Source organism: Homo sapiens, chromosome 2 (assembly GCF_000001405.40).
Source record: "Homo sapiens chromosome 2, GRCh38.p14 Primary Assembly".
Taxonomy (NCBI): Eukaryota; Metazoa; Chordata; class Mammalia; order Primates; family Hominidae; genus Homo; species Homo sapiens.
Genome location: NC_000002.12, coordinates 224,943,126 through 224,967,786, shown reverse-complemented (window position 1 = coordinate 224,967,786; position 24,661 = coordinate 224,943,126). Strand labels below are relative to the sequence as shown.

Sequence of the window (24,661 nt, the reverse complement as noted above, 5' to 3'; positions counted from 1 at the left end):
AGATCCCTACAGAAAACCATTATTAACAACTACATATATGTGGTTTTTTTTTTTTACAATATGGATTTCCATGACTCTTAACATCTGACTCATTAAGAGAAGGTCTTTCTAATTAGAAAATTAAACATGATCATGGTGTAGTACACACAACACAGAGCCAGTTTGAGGCTTAATTTCCTGGTGCGATTTGGTAAGGAGGCCTATTGTACTGGCTATTATAACGTACTTCAGTCATAGTCACCAAGTAAAGTGGCAACTTCAGAAACCTGATTATAAAATCATACTTTGGGGTTGACCTACCCAATGCCAAGACATTGGGCAAAAACCTGAAATTTTACTTATTATGGAGATCATTAAGACATCTGAGGGTAAACATTTTAACACCAGATAAGACTAGAGGATAGGCCGGCTGGGCGCGGTGGCTCACGCCTGTAATCCCAGCACTTTGGGAGGCCGAGGTGGGCAGATCACAAGGTCAGGAGATAAAGACCATCCTGACTAACACGGTGAAACCCCGTCTCTACTGAAAATACAGAAAAATTAGCCGGACATGGTGGTGGGCCCCTGTAGTCCCAACTACTCGGGAGGCTGAGGCAGAAGAATGGCGTGAACCCGGGAGGTGGAGCTTGCAGTGAGCCGAGATCTCGCCACTGCACTCCAGCCTGGGCGACAGAGCGAGACTCCGTCTCAAAAAAAAAAAAAAAGACTAGAGGATAGGGTGAACTTTATCCATTTGGTCCTGATATTCCATGAACAATGGACAGTGTCGTTTCATGTACTCTTGTTTTAGCAGCTACAATGTTTTAAACTGAAGGGGTTTGCAAACATGTGTAATTCCCGCCTCCTTTATCCCTGATACCATGAAATGTGAGCCTCTACTTTTTTTTTTTTCATCTGAGTACCTGCTTCTAGATGAGCTATTTAACTTTATTACCATGAGCTCGCTGGTATGAAAGGTTTATTCATATTTGTTCACAGCCTCAATAAAATATAATTGGCCATAAAGCCAGCAAGTGTTGAGGTCTAGGTCCAAAGAAACTTAATATGTAGCCCATTACTCTCTTTGTCACACTTAGTATTTTTCAGCATCTTAAAATGAGAGTTATTCCCCTCTTTCTCAGGGATGCTGTGTGATAACAACTGAGGTTTAAAGGCTGTGTGATCAGTTTTATGATTCGCATATTGACAGTAGTAGTCTTACTGACTTCCAGAAGGAGGAAATAAAGACTTGAGATTTCTAGAAAATAGCGATAAAGCAAACATCTCCCTTTTGTTGACCTGAAAATTATATTCTGGGATTTACGCATGCATAAAAGAAGAAAGTCAGTCTTATATAAATCTTAACAGGCCATGAAGCATTTGGTGATGGTTATTTTGTATATTCAAAACAGCCTGTGTTGTATCATGCTAATGCAAAGAGGCCATTATTTTCAAATAAGGTTATCTCTCTATAGGGAGGATAAGACGACAATCAAGGGCCACGGGGGGTGGGGGGTGGGGCACCATCCAATTGTGCTTTCCTAGTTGCCGATATAATTTTTAAGTATCAAGAATATGCAGGCCCTTCAGAAAAGTCTTTCAAATCAAATTGGAGGGAATGAGAGGGCTAAGAGTGGATGGTGTATAGGCTGCACACTCTGTAATGTTTGCCAAATATCTGAAGGCGTCAGAGAGTCTGTTGTGCCCGCTTGCATGTTTATAGGAGAACGTTAATCAATTAGTTCCATTCTGCTATAGATAGTAAGTAATTACATTCACTGGAAGCCACAGCAATGTGATTAATAATACATTCCAATTTCCCAAAGTAGCATTTCTCCCAGAACTTAAACATGGCTCTTTGAAAAGTACATTTTTGTATATAAGAGACGTGGTTGAATTGAAATTTATTCCCCCAAAAATAATACTGTGAGAAGAAAAATACAGAGTTTTATATAATGCCTTCCGACTCTTCCTACATAAATGGGTAAAATTTAAGTTACTTTTTTTAAACAATTTTCAAATAAATTCTCAAGAAAGAGTATTTTAGGCTTAACCAGTATTTTATGCTATATGGAAGTTTTAGGGAAGCCAGTTAATTTCTTAATAATTATGGAGCACCTGCTATTTTCAAGTTCTGACACTAAGCTCTCTAAACGATAGAAAGGTAATTAAGCTACTATCTGTGTATTTAAGAAGATATCACAACAATAAGGCATTTGGCCTGTATTAAGTGAATACAATCTAAAGGGAAATAAGATAATTTCCACAAGAAAAGCAGAAAGAAAAGTGCCATGAGGTTTCAATAGAGGGATAAAGAAGACAAGAATCCACCCAAGAAGGATTGTATCATAGCCTATATACAGAATCATACTCAGAGATAAAGGCAGAAAAGTTAACTGCAGACCGTCTTGTGTAGGAACATTGACCTTGAAAGGGTGCCCAAGAATGCCTACTTGTTGGGCATTCAGTCAGAAAACGGGTACTTTTCCTACCTGCCAGGCTCTGCTCCCTCTCTGACACAACATGAAATCTGGGCACTTTTAGGATTATCACCAAACCTCCTTGAACTTTGCACACACTATGAAGTTAAAGCATTTCCCATCGAATAAGCTATTTGTTCAATACATCAAAAAGGCTGAATGATTATGTTTTTGGAAAAATGTGCCTCATGAGATACACAATGTAATTATTTTCTAAAATCAACCCTATTCATTGCTGATATTTTTGCAAACAATGGAAAAGTTGATTAATGAGAGTTCTTGACTTCTACCAAAAGAATTTCTTTTTTATTTGATATAGTGGTATTGACATAAACCATCAAAGAGAAGTATGTTTGCTGCGGACATCCATACTAGAAATAACTTGGTAGTTTAGTGGACAACACATTGTCCTATGTCTCTACCCGTAGCCATTGTGAATCATTCTCTCAGAAGAATGTCTTGTATCCTTGAAGTATGTGTTCTTATAGCCGGGCTGTTCTCCCCTTTTGAGGTTCAGTGGCCGAAGGGAGAAGAGAAAGAAAAAGAAGGAAAGGAGATCTGCATTTTTGAGGGCATGTTACCAAAAGGTGAAATTTAACATTAATTTGGTAATATTCAACACCAGTCATCACCTTTTCTTAGAAATATTCAAAGGCCACGCCAGGCATGGTGCCTTACACCTGTAGTCTCAGCATTTTGGAAGGCCAAGGTGGGCCGATGGGTTGAGCCCAGGAGTTCGAGGCTGCAGTGAGCTATAATGATGCCACTGAACTCCAGACTGGGTGATGGGGCGAGACCGTGTCTCTATTTAAAAAAAGAAAAAAGAAAGAAACGAAAAAAAAAAGAAGAAAGAAAGAACACATACTTAAAGGCCAGGACTTAAAGCTGTAGAAAAATCATTATTTTATTCCTGGGTCCATGGTTCCTGTGCCTCTTTAAGCCCTCAATAAGGAATTACTGATGAGTCAGGTCATATCTCTTTCAAAGAGGTTTGTTATTTTAAGATCAAGCTATATTAAAGAATCGTTTGCATTTAGAAAATGAACAACACATTAAAGTTTAACCAATCATCAAGTATCCCTTATTATTACAGCAGCTTATTATTTGTAGTTGTTCTAATTCACTTTGAATTCTATGACATATTTTTATTACATCCACTTAAATACAGTCATCTAAATTTCACCAAGGAAAACACATAAGACATCTCACCTGTGCTAACACCCTCCGCATCCTGTATTTTATTTCTCCTTTCAAACATAAAGTTTTAAATAGGTATTTCGAAAATATAACATGTAAGAAATGACTCTATTGTAAAAAAAAAAAAAAAAAAAGAATTTTAGACCAAATTGTGAAAACATGTGATTGTAGTTTAGCTTTCTTGTTCCAATAGTCAGTTGGACTGTACATCAAATTCTTCCCTTTGCAAGAAGAAGTCATGTAAAATGTAGATAATGAAGAAATAGATGAAGAACATCAATGAGAATGTGACATTGCATCCACCTTTTCTTAAATTGTGAAAGACAAGTAATTGAAAATTTTAACTTCGAGTAACTAACTTTCATGTTACAGTCCTTATATTTCTTTCATTCTTAATATAAAATTACTACTTGAAAACTGTTTACTTCCCCTTTAAAATAAATCTCTGTCACTTCTTAGAAGTTTTGCTTAGCATCACGTTCTCGTCATTTACATGAAGAGGTTTGAGCCATACCATTAATTGCCACACTGATTTCTCACATGAGCTGACTCTGCCTCAAAATGGTTTTTATTCTTTTAAATTAAAGAAGAAATTTGGTGCAATGTAATGATTACTATGGCTTAATCAATACAAGAAATATTCTCTTGTCCTGTACATTTAAGGAGAGGGCATTCTAGTTAGACAGAACAGAAACACAATTTTATTACTACCTTCAAAATTTTGGCACATGATTCACATTTGAGAAATCTTCACGAGTAAACTATTGATCTATTGCAGACCTGTATTAACTGCGAATATATCAGCAGTAGAAATCCTTAGGATTATTGTCTAATGTAGAGGCATCAGGCAAGGCTTAGATCAGAGTCTCAGTCACAATATTCTTCCCAAAAGACATGGTCTTAAACGTGAAACCCTTAAGGGTTCCAGACTCCATGCCAGCAGGCCACGAAGGGAATAAATGAAACAGGCTAGACAATGGCTCAAATCGGATTGGTGGGTAGCATAGCAAACTAGGGCAGGCATGGCCCATCCAGAGGGTTCAGCCACCACTCAGCTTGGACAACAGTTTCCAGGTCAAAAGGTGGGATCAGTATGGTCAGATCTCGAATTTTTCAAAAAAAACTAGTAACCAGGGTTTATATACAAAAATCTCCCAATTGTTAAATGCTGGCAACAAATTCATATACCTTAAAACATTTTTTGGCAGAAAAAAAATACAACTGTGGGACTAACTTGAATCCTAGGCTGCCTAATTGTTATTCTCTTTTAAATTTTCATTAGGGTTTCACTTTAATTCAGTATTCCAACTTCAAGGTACCAGTGAGAACTATAATGTCTGCAATCCATTATAATATACTTGGCTGATATGAGTGGAAAATGATTTTGCTGTTAATGTAAATGTAGGATTAAGGATTATATTTTTGACTTTGAGAAACATGCATTCTGGCTCCTAATTCAGAAAGATTTCCACAGGTATAATTGAATAGTCACAAGTCAGACTATCTTTTCTTGACTGTAAAACAGTACAAGCGGAATGTGGTAATAAATATCTGACACTTAATTTTCAGCAACATAATGCAAGTAGGAGATGTGAGTACTAATGCATCAAAAGCAACAAATCCTTTTAGAAATCTGTTTACAAAGCAGATCAGAGATATCATCGGTTATTGAAAAAAGTGGGTAGAGAGTGGACTCTCATGTTCCATATTTTCCCTTTAACTGAGTCATAAATTATCTTCCATGCTGACTACAGTGCTTATTTAGTGCTTACTATACAACCATGAAAATTTGTTCATGCCTCACTCTATTGTGCTGAGATTTCACAGAAACCCCGTGAACCCAATGCTACATACCTAATTATGTGTCAATTTTTGTCCAATCTCAGAAAATAACTGGAAGTATTTATTTAAGTTATGCATTCCCCTAACTGATAGGCACAAGTATCTTGGTCAAACTGCTATGAAAAAATGATTCCTGGTAGAGATGTGTGATTTGGCTGGGGTTCATTTCAGGGAAGGAACAGACCAAAATTGGGACAGATGCAGAGGTCTTGCCCTGAAGCCTGTCAGCCAGCCACCATGCTGTCAATTCTTTGTTTTAGCACCAGTGCAACCTGGCATCTGCCCTAGTTCAGATTTTCATGGCTCCTCAATAAACTCCTGCAATTCCTGTACCCCCTGGAGAAGATGTCACTGACATCTTCTTATGCTAAAAAATTTGAAATTCTATCTCACTAGTTTTCTCACTGAGACTCAGTTGCACAGATCATTTCCTAAATTGTGTGACACAGAATAAGATGTACCCTGTAAGAAAATGCTGCTATGTGGCCAGGCGTGGTGGCTCACACTTGTAATCCCAGCACTTTGGGAGGCCGAGGCAGGCAGATCACAAGGTGGAGACATCAAGACAATCCTGGCCAACATGGTGAAACCTTGTCTCTACTAAAAATACAAAAATTAGCTGGGCATGGTGGTGGGTGTCTGTAGTCCCAGCTACTCAGGAGGCTGAGGCAGGAGAATCGCTTGAACCCAGGAGGCGGAGGTTGCAGTGAGCCGAGATCGCACCACTGCACTCCAGCCTGGCAACAGAGCGAGGCTCCGTCTCAAAAAAAAAAATGAAGAAAGAAGGAAGGAAGGAAAGAAAGAGAAAGAAAGAAAGAAAAAGAAAGAAAGAAAGAAAGAAAGAAAGAAAGAAAGAAAGAAAGAAAGAAAGAAAGAGAAAGAAAGAAAGAAAATGCTGCTATGCAAAAATAAGCATGGGAAATATCACATACTACAGACTGGAGAGAGAGTTGTGTTGCACAATGGGAATTGGAGCTCTGAGGAATTCTGCAGTGAGAAGGTCAGTTTAGCTTTGTTCAACGCAGCATTTCTCAAGTTTAGTTGCCATTGTAAATCTCTTCTCTGTCATCCTGGCTAACATGTTGTGAAGCTCTAGAATACAGTTGGGGAAACACTGATATTGACAAGAGAGGATGCTACTCAAGGCTTCCGAGTTGGGAATAACTTGATCAGACCTGGCTTTCACAAGGAAGGTTGCTGCAACGAGGAGGATTACAAGAAAATATACAATCATTAGAATTTGGTGATGGGGGCCGGGCGCGGTGGCTCACGCCTGTAATCCCAGCACTTTGGGAGGCCGAGACAGGCGGATCACGAGGTCAGGAGATCGAGACCATCCTGGCTAACACGGTGAAACCCCGTCTCTACTAAAAATACAAAAATTAGCCGGGCGCGGTGGCGCGCGCCTGTAGTCCCAGCTACACGGGAGGCTGAGACAGGAGAATGGCGTGAACCCGGGAGGCGGAGCTTGCAGTGAGTCGAGATAGCGCCACTGCACTCCAGCCTGGGCGACAGAGCGAAACTCCATCTCAAAAAAAAAAAAAAAAAAAAAAAAAAAGAATTTGGTGATGCGTTCATTGTGCACATAAGGGATAAGGGAAGTTGAAAATGAGTACCAAGTTTCCAGTTTTATCACTTAGGTGGATGATTATGTTAGTAAAATCATGATAAAGTTGCATGGAAGGGTATTTAGAAGGAAAGGGAATGAGCATATAGTTGGTTTGCTTTTTGGCCCTTGAAAGGACATATGGAAGAAATGATAATGAAATTTTCATTTGTTAGACTTTTAGTACTTTCTGATGCAAATCTCTCATCACAGCACCTGCCAAACCAACTCCTCTAAGCTCTGTAAAGACAAATAAGTTATTTTATTCTTCTGGTTATCCTGAATACTTAGCACAATGTCTGTACCCATTTACAGTGTAAATAAACATATGGTTGCAAATAGTTATATGGTTACAAAAAGAAAATGACCTTAGCTAGGTCAAGGAAAATAAAGAGTGCAGGTAGGGGAATCCCCTCAGACTGGAGGAAGAGCTAAGCAAGAGGCCTCAGTAAGCACGGCGGGAGCAGGAGCCCAGGAACAATAGGAATAACAATAATAATTATAATAATGATAATAAATGTGCAGCATTCAAGACACTGTCTTTGGTATAAATCATGGCTGTTTTCTGCCTTTATATATCATTCCTCTCAAGGTTCAAGTTCAGAGAAGGAACAATCTGATTGGTGGAGGTGGGTCAGGTCACCTTGTTTGATGTGCTCTGGAAGGTGAGGGGATAGAGGAGGTGTTCCCCATAGGAAAATCAAGGTACAATTTCCACAACAAGGAGGACTGTATATGTCACACCCATATTGACTCTGCCTTTTTCTCCAGCAGATGAAAAGCTCAGGCTTTTATACAAAGACTCAGTCTTGGCAATGACTACTGAAGTCAACCCAAAGAGCAGAGGGGGACAAAACTGAACATCAGGCCTGTTGGAAAGGAAGGGTTTCCCAGTGTCGGCTTCCGTTTTGCAGCTGTATTCAAGGCGAAAGTAATGAGATGTTAAAAATACATAACTGAATATTCAGATTTTAGCAAGATATTATCAATAAATTAAGTGGGTGTGAAAACAGCCCCAAAATTATTTCCAGTGCTTTATTTACAAATCATGTCAAGGGCAATGTCATCTAGTGAGAAGGCACAGCTGTTTCCTTCTGAAGTAGAATCCAGCTGAGAGCAGGGAATGAGAGACAGTAGCATCTTTTTGGGTGCATCATCTGGACTAAATGTGGAGAAAGAGGAGCTCTGATTGAAAAATCATTTTTCTTGCCTAAGTGGTACTTGAGGTAAAAAAAAAAAAAAAAAGAAAATAATAAAGGCTTATTTTTTGGGGTCCGGTTGTAGGTTTACCTGGAAATGGCTGATACAAGTTGTTTTATTTAAAAACACACAAACATAGAAGTTTAGAGTTTTTTTAAAAAAAGCTTCAGAACAAGAAGTCCAGAAAGATTACTGTTTTTGCCTGAGGTCACTCAACCTATCAGCGATAGATGTTGAATACAGGCTTCCTGATGCCATCCAATGCTCTCCTCACTGTGAATGCAGTGAGATGCACTCTGCCTAAAAGAAAAAAAGAAATGGCTTATCATGGCAGTCTCCACTCTGTAGTTATGGGCAGTGAGAAAGAAGAAGTCAACACAAATTCAGAACTGGTTCCTGAAAATATGTTCCCTAATGCCAACCAAAGCAAGAAGGATGCCAATTTTAAATGCTGCCAAAGATCTTTTGATGCAGTCTAGGTAGCGGATCTCCTTCCCAATCTATGATACCCTTGCAAAAGAGAACAAAGTCAGATTAAATGTCTCTTTGTCAGTGTACTTTAATACCTTTCCGTGGCCTTGGAAATTTATTCAAAGGAAAAAGAGGAAGACGGGGAGAAAACAAAGTGCAATACTCTTTTCTGCTGTTCACAACATCAAATTGGTAATTATAATGTTGGTATTTGCCACATGCCAGTAGGAGATCCCGCACCGTTGAAACATAAAGAGGATACTGTTTATTGCTCTGGGAATTTACAGTCCCGCTTAGGCAGAAAAGTAACCATGAAAAGTTCTTTTTTTTTTTTAAACATATGATATTGGTTAAAACTTGGCTTTCTTAACTTCCTTGGAATTTGAGTCTTCTTTGTGGGATAAAGGGAGATGACAGAAATAGGATAATTGGAACCTTTTGTAGTTGTGCACAGAGGGGATTTAAAAATGAAATAGCCAGTGTTGCAAGACACAATGAGCACAAAGAGGTCAGTTGTGGAAGGAGTGAGTGTGCAGGGGAAGAGAGGCTGTTTAACCTAATTATCCTTATCCAAACCAAGGGGTCTTCTGGCTACTCCCTTCCTTTCTGAAGCATCCTATTCCTTTCACTGCCACTTTCGAGGTGCCCTTTTTGTGCCCGGAGCTGGTGCCCTTTTTGTGCCCGGAGCTCCTCCTCCTAATGCTCAATGCATGAGCAGCTAGGATCATCCTGCACTCATAAACCATACACTGTAGCAGCGCAGCTCAAGATGACCTCAACACAATTACTTTATAATCCAACTTACAACTGACATCCACTGAGCATTTTATTATATTCCACACATGGCGCTAAGCACTTCACCAATATTCTATTAATAAGCCTCACAACATCTAATAAAGTAGATACTGTGGTTATCTTTATTTTGCAGATAAGGAGACTCATTTCCAGAGAGGTTAGGGAAGTCACCCAGAGGTACCTGGCAAGTAAGTGTGAAGGCCAGCACAGTGGTCTTACCCACAGTGGCCAACACCACAGTCCCAATGACATGCTTTCATGCTTGAAACGTGTATCCTCATCCCCAATTCCTTGGGCCTTTGCCTAGGTGACCAGTTTGCCTCTTCTGAGATAATATTCTAAGTTATTGAAGATTATAATGGGTTTGTAGCTTTTCCAGGCAAGTGAAGCTGCATTTTAATAGAGACGTCCCAGAACAGAAACAGAAACCTAGGCTTATGCACTAATTTGAATAGTGGTGTTTTGAGACATGTAGAGAAGTGAAAGAGGGCACTGATTTGAAGGACAGTAGGTCTGAGGTTCTTCCAAGCAAGTCAGCTCGGCTTTCAAGAGGTACTAACTCTGGTCCAAAGAGAAATCTCCACCATCTGCCAGGAGATCCCTGGCTCTGGAAGCCATCATCAAGGAAATACTGGATTTGGTGGCTCACACCTGTAATCTCAGCTACCAGGAAGCTGAGGTGAGAGGATCTCTTGAAACCAGGAGTTCTAGACTAGATTGGGCAACATAGCAAGACCCCACCTCAAAAAAAATTAAAATGAAAAAAGGTGTGATGATACACATTTGTAATCCCAGCTACTCAGCAGGCTGAGGCAAGAGAGTCATTTGAGCCCAAGAGTTCAAGGTTGCAGTGAGCTATGATCACACCGCTGCACTTTAGCCTGGGTGGCAGAGTGAGACCCCATCTCCGAAAAACAAAGCCGGGGGGGGGCGGAAAGTAAAAACTAAATACTAGATTTAGACCTAGGGTTGGGGAGAGATTTTTCCCTGCCCTCCCCCAAGAAGTTTTGGCAACTTCTGAGGACCTCAGTGGCTGTCACAGATGGGCACAGCAGAGGGCGGGGAGTTTGCTACTGGTATCCATGGGTAGAGGCCAGCCAGGGATGCTACAAAACATCCTGCAATACAAGGGACACCCCCACACACAAACAACAAATGATCAGATCCAAGATGTCAATAGTGCTGAGTTTAAGAAACCCTGATTTAGACAATACCTGAGGGACATGACAAGCATGACCAGGTTTACAAATTCCAAGCACAGCCGTGGCCAGTGAAGAGGCTGGCTTTATTCCAGGGTTTTCTCCTCCATTTCCTAAACATGCGGTGTGATCCAGCTGGTTAGTTAATTCCACCTGACTGAGTATACATTAGGAAAAGAGAATATTTGATTTTATAAATGAGATCTCCGTGCAGTATAAAAATAGTTTGTGTTGGGAGGTAGTGCCACAGAGGGCACTATTATATGATTTTCTGCCTAAGAAAACTATTAGGTGAACCAGCTTCTGAGGCATTGTTTCTCAAAGTGTGGTCTGTGTAGTGTCTTTAACAGGCATCACTTCGATGCTCTTTTTTTTTTTTTTTTTTTTTTTTTCTGAGGTAGCGTCTCGCCCTGTTGCCCAGGCTGGAGCGCAGTGGTGCAATCTCGGCTCACTGCAACCTCCACCTCCGAGGTTCAAGTGATTCTCCTGCCTCAGGCTCCTGAGTACCTGGGATTACAGGTGCATGCCACCATGCCCAGCTCATTTTTGTATTTTTAGTAGAGACAGAGTTTCACCATGTTGGCCAATCTGGTCTCGAACTCCTGACTTCAAATGATCCACCCACCTTTGGCCTCCCAAAGTTCTGGGATTACAGGCATGAGCCACCGTGCCCGCCAATGGATGGTCTTTATAAAGCCAGATTACTAAACCCCCCAAATGAGAGCTACTGAGCTCCTGGTTAGGGTCAAGGAATCCACATTTTAAACAACTTATCCATGTGATTCTTACAAACACTGGAGAGTCTCTTCTCTTGGGGTTATAGTAGTAACTTTCAAAGTCCTACTATTGTCCAGGTCCCAAATCAAGTCTCAGTGCTTGTATGAAGAAATCCTGCTTCACCTTGGCCAACACAATGTTCTCCTTTGTTTTCAGATGCTGCAACCCATATTCTTCATTTGTCACTTCGTTTCTGCCTTTTGTGTTTTATGTGTACCATCATCTCCCCACATGGACTGTGTATAGTCTGTTCTAATTCTCTCTTATCATTGATTCCTGGCACTGGACAGACACGAACAATGTTTGACAGAGAGTCATTCTCATAAACTAGATTAAATACATATGGGTGCCCTTATGAGAGGTATCCAATTCTTGTTTCTCTGCTATTTCAGTTCTTCTTGTTTACCTAGTGAGGTGCAGAACACATACCCAGAGGTTAATTTGCCCTTTAATTGGGGACCTTAACTACTGGACTTCAAAATGTCAAGAATTTACTGCAGTGTGCACAACTAAATAAAGGAAATTCAACAATTAGTTATCTGCAAAACACAAAGTTCTTGATTGCAAACCCAAGACCCTACCATTATTCTCCAATTTCCACAATGCAAGGCATTAAACACTTAAATCAAAGTATTGTATTAGCTTTATCTCCTGGTGGAGGCCTTAAAAGACACAAATGCATTACGGTGCCATTAAATAAGTGGTTTGTGGAGTCGACTGGGTTACAGGGATTGTACCTAGGCTAACAATCTGATCCACTAGCAATAAATTGTTGGTCTAGATATCTGGTTGCCTTCACACTCAGCAATTGGCATTTACATGACAATTAGTTTCCTTCTCAAAATTGCTTAGGTAATAATGCTTTATTGCCTTCCATTTATAAAGACAAATCCTTCTGCAGTAAAAAGACAGCCACAAGAATAAAGCATATGTAATGGTGGTATTCCATAAATTGACCAATTTTTCCATTAGAGCTTTACAGATTTGAAAGACCTTAGTCTCCCCACAAAACTTACATACAATGTGCTTTTCAGGGTAATTATTAAACAGTGAGTGACATTCATATTGAAAGCAAGGTAATGAGTAGTTTGAATGGCTACAGGAGGGCAATTTTAGGTGCTTGTTTTATTTTAAAGGAAATAACATTGGTCTGTAGTTAATTTTGCCAGTAGTGGGAAGCTGGAGTAGGCTCCAAGCCAGCAAGCAGACAGGATACCTCTGTCTCTAGGGAAAATGCAATTGGAAAACAGTCCCTATAAGATAAAAAGATAACTGCATTGATTCAGATCTCCTCAGCCTCATCTTCTTGGAGGCTGTATTTGTGTGTCTTCACCTGATCATTTGTGGAAGAAATCTGCTTCAGCTCGGAATGCTTTTCATTTTCTTTAAAAGGTAGAGGAAAAATAGTATAATGAAAAATATATTGCTTTGGAGTTGATTACTTTTTAATAGGAAAAGAACACTGTATTCTAGGTGAGAATTAGCTGCATGCCTTTGTAAAGAGCAGTATCAATCCAGGCATATATATTTGTATGAAACATGTTTAGAAATGCTATGAGCTAGCTGTGGTATTTTTGTTGTTGTCATTGTCATTATTGTTATGCCCTGGCTTCTGAGGATGGAGGCAAGGGCATGTGAGTTAGAGTTTTGTCTCCATAAGAATAAATGTTTGTCCCTTAGAGATTTCCCATTTTCAACAGCAGAGCAGGCTGAAGCTGGAAATATTAAAATACACATGACTTCTCGAAGACAGTTGGATGCCTTTAGCAAAAAAAAATCAAAAACTTCAAAAAGGGTGATTAACTAAATGCCCAACAGGAAATTCAGAAAATAATAAACCCTAAAATCAATGTATTTTATTTTCTAAATATCACACTAAGATACTTATTGGTAAGATATATACATATCTCTGGACTATAATTTTTTTCTGGAAATGGATATCTCTGACCAGTGATGAAGTCCACTATTGAAAAAGTATAACTCCTTCACTGTTTGCTGTTAGATTCTAAGATGGGCTCTGTAAACTCTGTAAGAAATGAATTTCTTACCTACCCAAACCCCTCTCCCATCAAATTCTGATTTGATGAGAATTCTCTAAATGAGAATTTTCACCTTCTAACCTATTGAAATTCAGTACTGTGAACAAATATTACAACTTTATACCTGTCTGAAAGGCTATAATTGGAGTACTATGTTATTTTAATGCAATCAAGATAATTTTATGCCTATATACCTGTACAGACATACACAGCAAATGCACAACATCTACCCCACACACACAATAAGCATGCATCACACACACACACACACTCTGCACACACAGACTCCCACATGCACCACACACCCACAAACTGCAGTCTCTGTTATTGTTGGCTCATCTACATTCTCACTCATGTGCACAGCACCCTTTATTTTCCAAGAAATTTCTAAATACTGTATACGATTAGATTGGCACAAAGGTAGTTGTGGGTTTTGCCATCATTTTTAGTAGCGCCATTTTAAAAAACCACTATTTTAAAAATAATCGCAAAAACCGCAGTTACCTTTGCCCCAACCTATATTTCACAGACATTGTCCACTTTGAAAACTGTACGTTTAGAAATACGAGGTTTTGTCGTGTTCATTTAAACTCCCCCAGACAAGTCTACTCTCATTGGTAACTTGGAGCTGCTCAGTTGGGTTGACCTTTCTAGCAGGAAGCAGTGAGCCTGAGTACCACTAACTTTAAGAGCTCTTCTGCAGGGCTGAGGCTCAGGAGAGACCACAGTGAAGGAGGAAGTAGATACTTGCTGCTTTACTTCCTTTAAGCAGGGTGTACACTGGTTGAGCTGAGCCTGCAGATGCACCATGGACCAGTCTTGTTTTTCCTATGACAGAAAGGCTGTGCAGCAAACTAACCTGCAGGCAAATGGGGAAATCTACTGGAAATGGAAGAGAAAAAAATAAAATGAATTATCCAAGCATTCTGCGATAATGAAGAAGTAATCAATGGCAAATGCCAAAAAGCTCAACAGGTTAAAAAACTTGGAATAAAGATAAAATGTAATAAGGAAGTAATAACTGAAGTGGGAAGAAATGAATAGGAGGTGCCTTACCAATTGCTCAATTTAGGACTTGTGAATCCTGTCATCATGTACATGTGTCTAAATCTTAAGCACTATGTTTCTGTTACTCTAAATTCCTAATGGTACTTTTGGGGCCATTTTAATGGAATGGATTCAAATGCATTGTCAATGAAAGCCAGGTTTCTGCCCCCCGGTTGCTTAGATTCAGTGATGATGCCATTTCCGGATTGGATAGCCTATCTAACTGAAAATAGTTAGAATTGAGCATGTTAAAACATAACATAGGCCGGGCGCGGTGGCTCACGCCTGTAATCCCAGCACTTTGGGAGGCCGAGGCGGGCAGATCACGAGGTCAGGAGATCGAGACCATCCCGGCTAAAACGGTGAAACCCCGTCTCTACTAAAAATACAAAAAATTAGCCGGGCGTAGTGGCGGGCGCCTGTAGTCCCAGCTACTTGGGAGGCTGAGGCAGGAGAATGGCGTGAACCCGGGAGGCGGAGCTTGCAGTGAGCCGAGATCCCGCCACTGCACTCCAGCCTGGGCGACAGAGCAAGACTCCGTCTCAAAAAAAAAAAAAAAAAATAACATAATTGAGCATTTAAAAAGGACTTTCACATAGTATATTGACTTTGTTTGCTGCCTTTCCTCCACCATTATTTTTCTTCCTTTCTTCCAACTTTGTTGAGCTCTCCTGTGCCATTCGACTTCTCACCTTTATTTCGACTTCTCACCTGTATTTCACTGCCAGTATTTTCCAGTAAATGATCTAGAAGCCAATTTTCCATTTCCTCCCACTCATTTCTTAGTCCCATTGCAACCTGGATCTCAGTGGTCAGTGGAAACCACAACCAAAGGCCAAGTGTCTTTCTCATCTACACCTTCTTCTCAGTACATCCTTGATGTTAAAATTAAAACACACGCATACAAAATTCGAGAATAAGACGTAGTAGACTGTATTTTAAAGACGTCCCCTCCAGACTGCCTGATTATTCAAACATGAATTTTCGTACAGCTGTGAAGGGACTTTGCAGTCATAAATTAAGGTTGATCATCAGGTGGCCTTAAAGTAGAGAAATGATTCCAGATTGTCCTGGCCTGATCACATGAGGCCCTGAAAGCCAAGGCTTTTTTCCCTGGCTACAGCAGAGAGATACAGAAGAAGAGATATGTTAGGAAGATGAGGCAAAAGGAGAAGTTAGATTCAAAGTGTGAGTGATTCAGCTGGCTATTTCTGGTTTAGAAAGGGTCCTTGAGTCAGGGGATGTGGGTGGCCTCTGAAAGCTAAGAATAACCCCTGGCTGACAGACAGCAAAGAAATGGCCACCTCAGTCCTACAACTGTAAGGAATAAATTTTGCCAACAACCTTGCATGTGCCTGAAGACAGCTTCTCCCCTGGAGCCTCCAGAAAGAGATACCACCCTGTTGACACTTAGGTTTAAGTCTTGTGGTTCTCCAAGCAGAGAGTCAGCTGAGCCGCACTGAATGCAGATTTCTGACCCATGAAAACAGATCATAAATGGAGGTTGATGTAAGCCACTAAATGTGTGGCAGTTTGTTACAGTGGCAATAGAAAACTAATACAGATTGCCAGAACTTTTTCTTAGGTTTCTGACATTTTAGCATTCAAATTCCCATGTCTCTAAATCATGGTTAAGTGTCCCATCTTACTTAATTTCCAAACATCTAGCCTCTTCTCTACTGAAAATGGCAAACTTACTTTCTGACTGGACACCATGGGACCAGACTTTGAATTCTTATATAAGAATATGTGAGACTGTGCGTTTTGTATGTACATATATGCATGCATATATATGTATATACATAAATACATACTTACATAAGAAATGACAAATACCCATTATGTTCAATAATAATAGTTTATGTATATACACAGATAGGAATCTTAGCCATTATACATACACATATATATATTTTGTTCACAACTCCAGGGACTCACATATATTGTTTCACAGCAACCCTATAAGCTATAAACTAATTGCTCTATTCTTACATATAAAAGTTAGGCAGAGATAAGTCAAATACCTTGCTGGACGTTATCTAATAGACAGCTGAAGATTTAAGCACAAGTATGTCTAGATCCAAAACTGCAAGGTCCTTAGTTTTCAGCCTGTCTATCTCTCACACTGAATCTTTTTAGACATTGCCAGGCCCTACATCCATCTCTGTTCAGATGCCATGCAGCACCTTCCTTAACCTCACCTGTCCAGGACATTGAGGCTCTGTAATGGCTCCGTAATTTCCCCTTTTATCTCTATGCCTTCTCAGTATTTCCTGAATTGCCCTCCATCTACCATATGTAAAGGAACTTCAAGACTGTGTTCTTAATTCTGTTAATCTGTTCTCCAAAAATTCAGTTTACTTTTAGACTTTTAAATTTAGTTATTTTCATGACTTTCTGCTCCACGTCTCCAGTCCTAACTTTTTCTTAAGTTCTAGGCACACATATAACAGCTGGACTTTCCCTTTTGACAATCTTCTGGATGCAACATTCAACATGTCTAAATCAGCATTGCACATTAAATAAAGGGGGGAAACCCTCCCTTCTTACCACCCTTTTTCCCTCACTCATATTACCCATCTCCTTCATGGCCAGTCAGAAACCTGGCATCTTTGAACTTCCCTTCTGGCTAAGACGGTGGGCTCAGTAGCTGGACCCCCTGGACTTACATCCCAGCTCTGCTACTGACTTTGGGCCAATTGCTTAATTTCTCCAGAACCCAAATATTCCTCTGTAAAACTGGAGTGGTGATAACAATGATAACAATACTTACCTCACAGGGTTGTTGGATGATTTAAATAGGTTCCATAAAAAATTTAGACCAGCATCCAGCACATAGTACTTGCTCAGTAAATTTCAGCTCTCATTTTTTATTTAATTGCTAGATCTTTATAATTTCCCTGAAATGTATGGTTATGTTTCTGTTGCCTAATTTTCTGTATTCCACCACCCTATGTTAATATCTAGATTAATGCAAACCATCTCTGGGTCAAATTATCTGCAATCCAGCCTGCATGTAGCTACCGAATGAATCTTTCTAAAGCACTATTGTAATTATAATTCAAAAATCCTTTAGTGGTTCCTCATGATTTCAGGATACAGTGGAAACTTTTCCTTATCTTGGCATTCAAAGCCTTCCATGAACTAGCTCCTGACTTCTACCTTCAATTGATTCTATCTCTCCTCTCCTATTTAACCCTGGGCAGTAGACAGGCAGATTTCTAATTTTTTCTTAAATATTCTGCTTTGGCCTGCCTTTTTGCCTTTGTTGTAACTAATAGTTATGCATACTATGTACCAGGCAAGGCAATGTGTTGATATTTTTAAGATGTCATTTTATTTATCCTCACCACAAACCTATAAGGTAGTGACTATGCTATCCCTATTTTACAGATGAGAAAACTGAGGCCTGGAAAGGGTGAGTGATTGGCCAAAGGACACACAGTTAAGAAGTGATGGATCCAGGATTTGAATCCCAGATGATTCTGTAATTTTAACCATTCTACCTTGATGCCTCCCCTCTGCTACATTTCCTTTCCAGCAGGATGCTTTCCTCTGCATTCATCTCTTTGATTCCCACCTATTATTCAAAGCCTACCTTAGAGATATCTTTTCTATAAAGCTTCCCCAGACTCCTTCAAACTCTAATGAACTCCTCTGTAGGATACAAGCTTCTTAAAACTAGGAAAGGTGTTTTATTTTTCTCACAAAGTTCAGTGATGTCTTGAATACAGTACTTAATAAATTCTGATGATTTATTGGTCTTGGATTTCTTTTCTAATGAACTTGGAGGCATCTCCTTGTAACTAAGCCAACAAATCTCTGATTGCTCCTTATTACTGGTTCTTGCCCATTGTCCTAGCTAGGACTTTTGATTAACAATATGTTTCTAAAACTAAAGCAGAAAAGAAATGTGTTGGAATGGTGTGGAGTGTCTCATAGAATGGTTGAGAAACAGGCTTGGTCTAGAAACGAGGAGAAGAAAGCCTGTAGAGGGCCCAGCGGTGCCATCCCATGGAACACTCCATGCCATGCTTCTGGATTTTCCCCTCCTTTGCATCAACACAGACTCTGTCTATCTGACATCCCCATATGCTGCCGGGTGATGCCTCTTTTTGCCAATATTTCAGGAAGCTATGATTAGCAGCTGAGGAAATGGAGAAATGAGTCATTCTCATATTGCAGAAGTTGAAAAGTGGGAGGAACTCTAGGATAAAGAACTGTGGTGCCTAAAGAGGAATAGAGGACAAAATAGATGCAAATATTAGACAGACAGAAAGTCGCTTAACAGTTTCTCAAGATTATTCAATGCTTTGTTATAAGACAGTATGCTGATCTTCTAAAACTGTGATTCAGAAATTTAAGGCACCATTGTTGGATGGATCCACAGATGGTTTTCAGAAGTTTGTGACTCTTGACCATGCATGCACATTTTCTGAGTGCTTATATTTTTCTGATGAGTGGGTTCATAGCTTTTATCAGATTTTAAAATGAGCTCATGATCTAAAAAGGATTATAAAATACTATTTTTAGCCATCAACATATACACATAATCTAACCCCAGGAAATCAGGTGATCCAGAGTCAGACTCTCATCACACCATATAAGGAAAAAATAATAAATCTGAAGATTCTGCATGTACTATAACATACCTGTTCATCTGTCAGATGTCAAAGCGTTACTTTGAGGGTGAAATCTGTTTAGCACTAAAGACATATGGTGGAATTTCTAAATATCAAATGACCAGGGATCAATGGACTTCTGCTCAGTGGAATCCTTAGTTTGCCTAACTAAGCCAATTACAAAGTAATGATATAATTTATCTCCCCAGCTGTCATTTTATAGCATCATGCTATTTTTCTGATTGGTTTCAAAAGAAGGTCTTCTCAGTCTGCATGCTAAGACAGGAATAATCAGAATCCCTTTTTCCCTGTCTGGCACAAATCACTGCATGACAAAGTAGAGACAGGTGAATGGCTCAGGCCTGGGGTACATGTGTGCCTATCAACTAAATCTAATTATTACTGGGGAAAAGAGAACAGCCTAGTCCTGTGGCCTCCAAATATTTCTGCTTCACCTAGTAGAAAAAAACTGAACATACTCCTATATTGTATATCTGTTTATCAATTATATGGCTTTTATCAATAGCTAATATTTCAAAGCACAATATATATATGAGACAAGGTTCATTGTTAAGCATAATAAATGTAAATCCCTAATTTATTCTTTATTAAACATATATTTAACTAATATATACTGAAAGCCTTTTGAGTGCCGCGTGTTCTAATCACTGAGGACCCAGTGAATGAAATGAAATTGCATGCTCATGGAACATACAGCCTGGTAGAGGAAGAGACCCTGAGTAAAACAAATAAATAAACCGTACAGTTGTGTTACGTGTCAGTGACTGTGATGGAGAAAATCAAAACAGGAAAGAGCATCTGGGTGGGTTTGAGGGGAGAACTGCACTTTTAAATTAAATAGCCCCAGAGAAAGGGCTTGAAGATCTAAAGATGAGGGAACTAACTCTGTAGCTCTTTGTAACTATTTGACATACAGATTCAAGGAGTCCATGTCTGTGTGCATTCTATTAAATAATAGTCAAGCATAATTTCTTTATTTAGATAGCCAATATACAAAAAATTCTAATATCTTCTTCTTGTTCTCTAAACAATCACTTTGGGAACTCCCCTCGGAAGATCACTTATTTAGTCTACACTTAACAAGAGCAATTGCTTTAAACACAATTCTCAGACCTCAGCCATATTATTACAGTTGACTTTTGGAGTCTAACCAGAATTATAAAGTTTGGGTGGCTGTTTTGACAGCCGTGGAGCCCTGTTGTCAATTAACTGTTCAATTCAATCTTGATTTGGTTGCACGGGTGGTTTTACATCATATGGTTTATTTAGCTGTGAACAATTCTCTTAAACGTCCAAAGTCATTTTGTGTTGCTTTATTGCAGGTGAAGAGGGAGGATATATGCACAAAAGCAGTATCTGAACAGCTGGTAGTTAGTTACTCACAGGAAGTGGTAACTTGACAGCTTTCCTTTCCTTTCTGTTGAGTTACATTCATGTAGCATGAGCATTTCCCTTTTTACCAAGAAGAAAGATTTGTTCAGCCTGGTGACGCTTCAGAAGAGAAGAGTTTAACGACATTGATATTTTGAAATATTTTGTGACTCAAATTATAGCAATACGATGAGTTTTCGAGGGAAGGTTTTTAAACGGGAGCCCAGTGAATTTTGGAAGAAGAGACGAACTGTGAGGAGAGTAAACCAAGAAGAAATCCACAGATTTAGTTCTGTAGGTATCCAAATGTCAATGTTTTGCTTTCCATCTTTCCTTCAATCCTTTCTTTCAAAAATGATTAGCTCTACAGTGGTATTCTAGCAGAGGCTGCTGGGTGAAGTCTTATATGGAACAGAAGATTCCATTTGGGTCCTAAATATTCTCTTTTACTTCCATCATTATTTTTGAAGTCACGCTGTTCTCAAACCGCATGTAACTCTTGTAAAATATATTAATAGAGAATTTAATCATTAAAACATTACTATAATATTTGGAATTTAAGGTGATCTTAGTATTATGGTACAAATTAAAATTTCTGAAGAAGTTATTCTCTTTATTAAAGAAAAGCCTCTAATTGCCTAAGGACTCAGTTGATGACATGTATATGGTTGTATTTTTAAAAAATTGTCATTGCTCTATTTTATCATATGCCACTAATTATTTATTTTAAAATTCTTAGAAAGAGCAATCCAAAATATGAAAGAAAAAGTAAATAAGCATTTGATTAATAGAGCCAAGGAGGACTTTAAAAAGTGATACTTTTAAAGGTTTTAAAGGTTAAAAAGATTTGGTTTTGTTTTGCTGTTAAAAATATTTCTGCCTTATTGTTTGCAAACAAAATGAGAGCTTGAAAACCTGTACTTATTACAGAACTTTACAGATCTATAAACTGTAGAATGTATAGAACTTTACAGTTCTATAAACTACTGACAGTTGAATATCAGAGCTGATTGTTAGAGCACTTCAGTGACTTTCATGTAAAGTGAAGGGCCCACTTTGTATGTTAAATGGTTGCGGCAATATTCCTGGGTAGCTTATTTTAGAAGAATGTTCATTTCACATGGTGGATCTGGCTTTGCTTGCCTTTTTCGGAGCAGGGTTTCTCAACCTCAGCGCTATTGTCATTTGGGGTCTGAGAATTCTTTTCTGTGGGGGGCTATCCTGTACCGTGTAGGATGGTTAGCAAATTCCTGGCTTCTATCCATTTAATGCCAGTGGCAATCCCTCCCCAGTTGTGATGACCAAGAACATCTCCAAACATTGCTAAACGTCTCCGGGAGGGTGATCACTGATCACCCATATGAAAACCACAGTTCTAGGGGTGAAAGATCTTTTTGTTCATAGAAACATCTTTAATATAGAAACAGAGATGGCTTTTCAAAAATATTATATATATATATATGCACACACATGCATATATATAGGCTCTTTATAAATATGAATAAGTACGTTGCCTCTCAATGAATAGAGGCCCTCTTTATACTAACAATTAGTTGACGGTAACTTGATATGAATAGAGTTTATTAGAGGTCTGCTCAGAGGGTTGGTACTGTGTTGTTGTTTGTTCAGTTTCTATCTCAGGAGTGTGTGTCTGCCATTGGTGAATACATGCAGTTGAGCCCCTACCCTTGTTCACATTAAATGTAGCTCTAATCTTTCCACTGGGTATTTCATAACTGGAATATGCAGAGTCCTGGACCTGACCTCTTTCTCCCCATTGGTCAGAAATAAGAGCCTGGACCTAACCACTTCCTCCCCACTGGTCAGATATATCTTCCCTACTGACTCCAAAAGAGCCTTGTCAGCCTGTTAAGGAGAATAACTGTTTCAAAATATTGCCTGGTTTGAGATTATTTTTAACTTGAGTCTTGTCCCCAAAACATAATTTCCCTGCTGTATTTATCTCAATGGAATTTAGAAGTAGCATGGATTATGTCACCCTGAGAGTTATTTCTTGTGTCCACTAAAAGAGAAAATGCACAGAAGAACGTGTCTATCTTACCGAGACCACTCATACAGTGTTGGCAAGAGGACAGTCCCCAGAGTCTCACCATATAATGAAGCTAATCACTCTATGAATTATCTTAATTGAATTTGAATGTATTGCTACTGAGTACTATGGGAAGAGCGGCCAGTAAGGACGCGGTATTTTCCCACAGCATTCAGTTAGCAATGCATTCAAATTTAATTAAGATCATTCATACAGTGATTAGCTTTCTTCGACGACAGAAGGCACTGGGGATGTCCGTGCTACAGTTGCCTGCTTTTGGTCTGCCTAAGATAGGCATATCTACTTTCACAGGTTGTCTCTTGTATTGAGTACAGGATTGTTTGATCCATCCTTAAGTATTATCCTGAGATGTGCTTTTCATTTTGGAATCCAAGAAAGTGCAACGAGTAATTAGAGCACTAGGATTTGAAACAGATATCCTGAGGAAGTCGTTCTCCCTGCCGCTCTCACCTGCCATCTATATGACCTTGGGCAAGTTACTTAAATCACTCTGAACCTCAGTTTCCTCTTCTGTAAAATGCTTATAATAATACCTATCCTGCGTTAAGATTGCTTATTAGAATTCAGTTTGGTACTGTGCATTCTGAACAGTTACAAGTGTTGTGTTGTGTAACTTGAACAGTTACAAGTTACAAGTGTTGCCAAAGTTACAAGTGTTGTGTAGTGTTATTAAAACTAAGTAAAATATTTCCATTTCCAAGGACAAGGGAAAAGGGACACTGAAATTGTCTTTCTAGTGCCTTCAGCAGTCGAAGTCACTGGACTACAGGTCACGCTTTTCTCCTGGGAATCTTTTTTTGGTAACAGAACCACCTAGGAGACAGACTTCTGAACTGCATTAAGCTGAGTGCTTGGGGTCCCAGATCTTTCTATGTGTCAATACAGTTTATTTCAGAAATACCATGGTTTTTTTTCTACCCAGTCTAAGCAGAGTTTAGCTGAAACCCACTCACAGCCTCATTGTACCGTGCCCAGCACATTCATCTAAGCTTTCTAAAATCTAAACCGGCCGGGCATGATGGCTTATGCCTGTAATCCCAGCACTTTGGGAGGCCAAGGCAAGTGGATCACAAGGTCAGGAGATGGAGACCATCCTGACTAACACGGTGAAACCCCATCTCGACTAAAAATACAAAAAATTAGCCGGCCGTGGTGGCACGTGCCTGTAGTCCCAGCTACTCGGGAGGCTAAGGCAGAAGAATCACTTGAACCCAGGAAGCAGAGGTTGCAGTGAGCCGAGATCGTGCCACTGCACCCCAGCCTGGGAAACAGAGCAAGACTCTGACTCAAAAAAAAAAAAAAAAAAAAGAAAAGAAAAAAAAATCTTAAACCAACATCCCTAGACTGGCTTCAGAGCCTATTCATTTGAATAGTGATGAGGGAAGGAGCAATTCAGTTGACAAAATGCCCAACAAATAAAGATGAGACCTAAAGTTAAAGAAGAAAGCAATAACTTCTTTTAAATTTTTGGATATACTCATAAATTGTAGTGAAAGAAGAAAAAAGTGATCGTTGCAGATACTTATCATATCTGTTTTTGTGATGATTATGTAGATCTTGAACTCAAGTCATTTCTGAATCGAAAGAAAATTTAGAAATGGTTTAATTTTACAGTAATCTCAAATACCTATCCAGAGCTCTGTGACTTCCTAAGAATTATGCAACCCAGATTTTATACCCTCTTGACCCAGATGGACTAGTCTGTATATTCTGGGTTTTTTTCAAATGCTATTTGAAGCTGTATATTTTATGTAGAATTTTTAGTTGTTTTGAAAGTTTCCCTTATTAATCTAATTTTCAAGTGTATTGTCTGAGAAATGCCACTTATCACAAACAACATACAATTGAGAGACTGAAGTTGTGTTATGAAAAAAGCTTAAGGAAAAGTGAAATTGTCATGTTAGATCATCAAGTAGAACTTCTTCCCTTAATTTTTGAAATGTG

General features: G+C 39.1%; 1 protein-coding gene across 23 annotated transcripts in view, besides 3 other annotated features; it reads left to right on the top strand.

Moving 5' to 3' along the window:
• DOCK10 (dedicator of cytokinesis 10) overlaps nucleotides 1-24,661 on the top strand; it is a 277,379-nt gene that overhangs the window by 74,682 nt on the left and 178,036 nt on the right. For 5 of the 23 annotated variants that reach the window (XM_047444932.1, XM_047444931.1, XM_047444924.1 and 2 more), the window contains exon 1: nucleotides 20,738-20,940. The exons of the other annotated variants lie outside the window; for them this stretch is intronic. In XM_047444932.1, coding sequence (XP_047300888.1) covers nucleotides 20,836-20,940 — 105 coding nt within the window. In that variant the 5' untranslated portion in view covers nucleotides 20,738-20,835. Of the gene's footprint in view, nucleotides 1-20,737; nucleotides 20,941-24,661 lie in introns of those variants that run through there. 23 annotated transcript variants of the gene reach the window in all.
• Nucleotides 9,650-10,039: an enhancer, noted in NCBI's record as "active region_17190". NCBI's record gives its function as "activates an Ori minimal core promoter by ATAC-STARR-seq in GM12878 lymphoblastoid cells {active_cell/tissue: GM12878}" and the evidence as "EXISTENCE:reporter gene assay evidence [ECO:0000049][PMID:35858748]".
• Nucleotides 14,266-14,315: a silencer, noted in NCBI's record as "silent region_12384". NCBI's record gives its function as "represses an Ori minimal core promoter by ATAC-STARR-seq in GM12878 lymphoblastoid cells {active_cell/tissue: GM12878}" and the evidence as "EXISTENCE:reporter gene assay evidence [ECO:0000049][PMID:35858748]".
• Nucleotides 23,676-23,805: an enhancer, noted in NCBI's record as "active region_17189". NCBI's record gives its function as "activates an Ori minimal core promoter by ATAC-STARR-seq in GM12878 lymphoblastoid cells {active_cell/tissue: GM12878}" and the evidence as "EXISTENCE:reporter gene assay evidence [ECO:0000049][PMID:35858748]".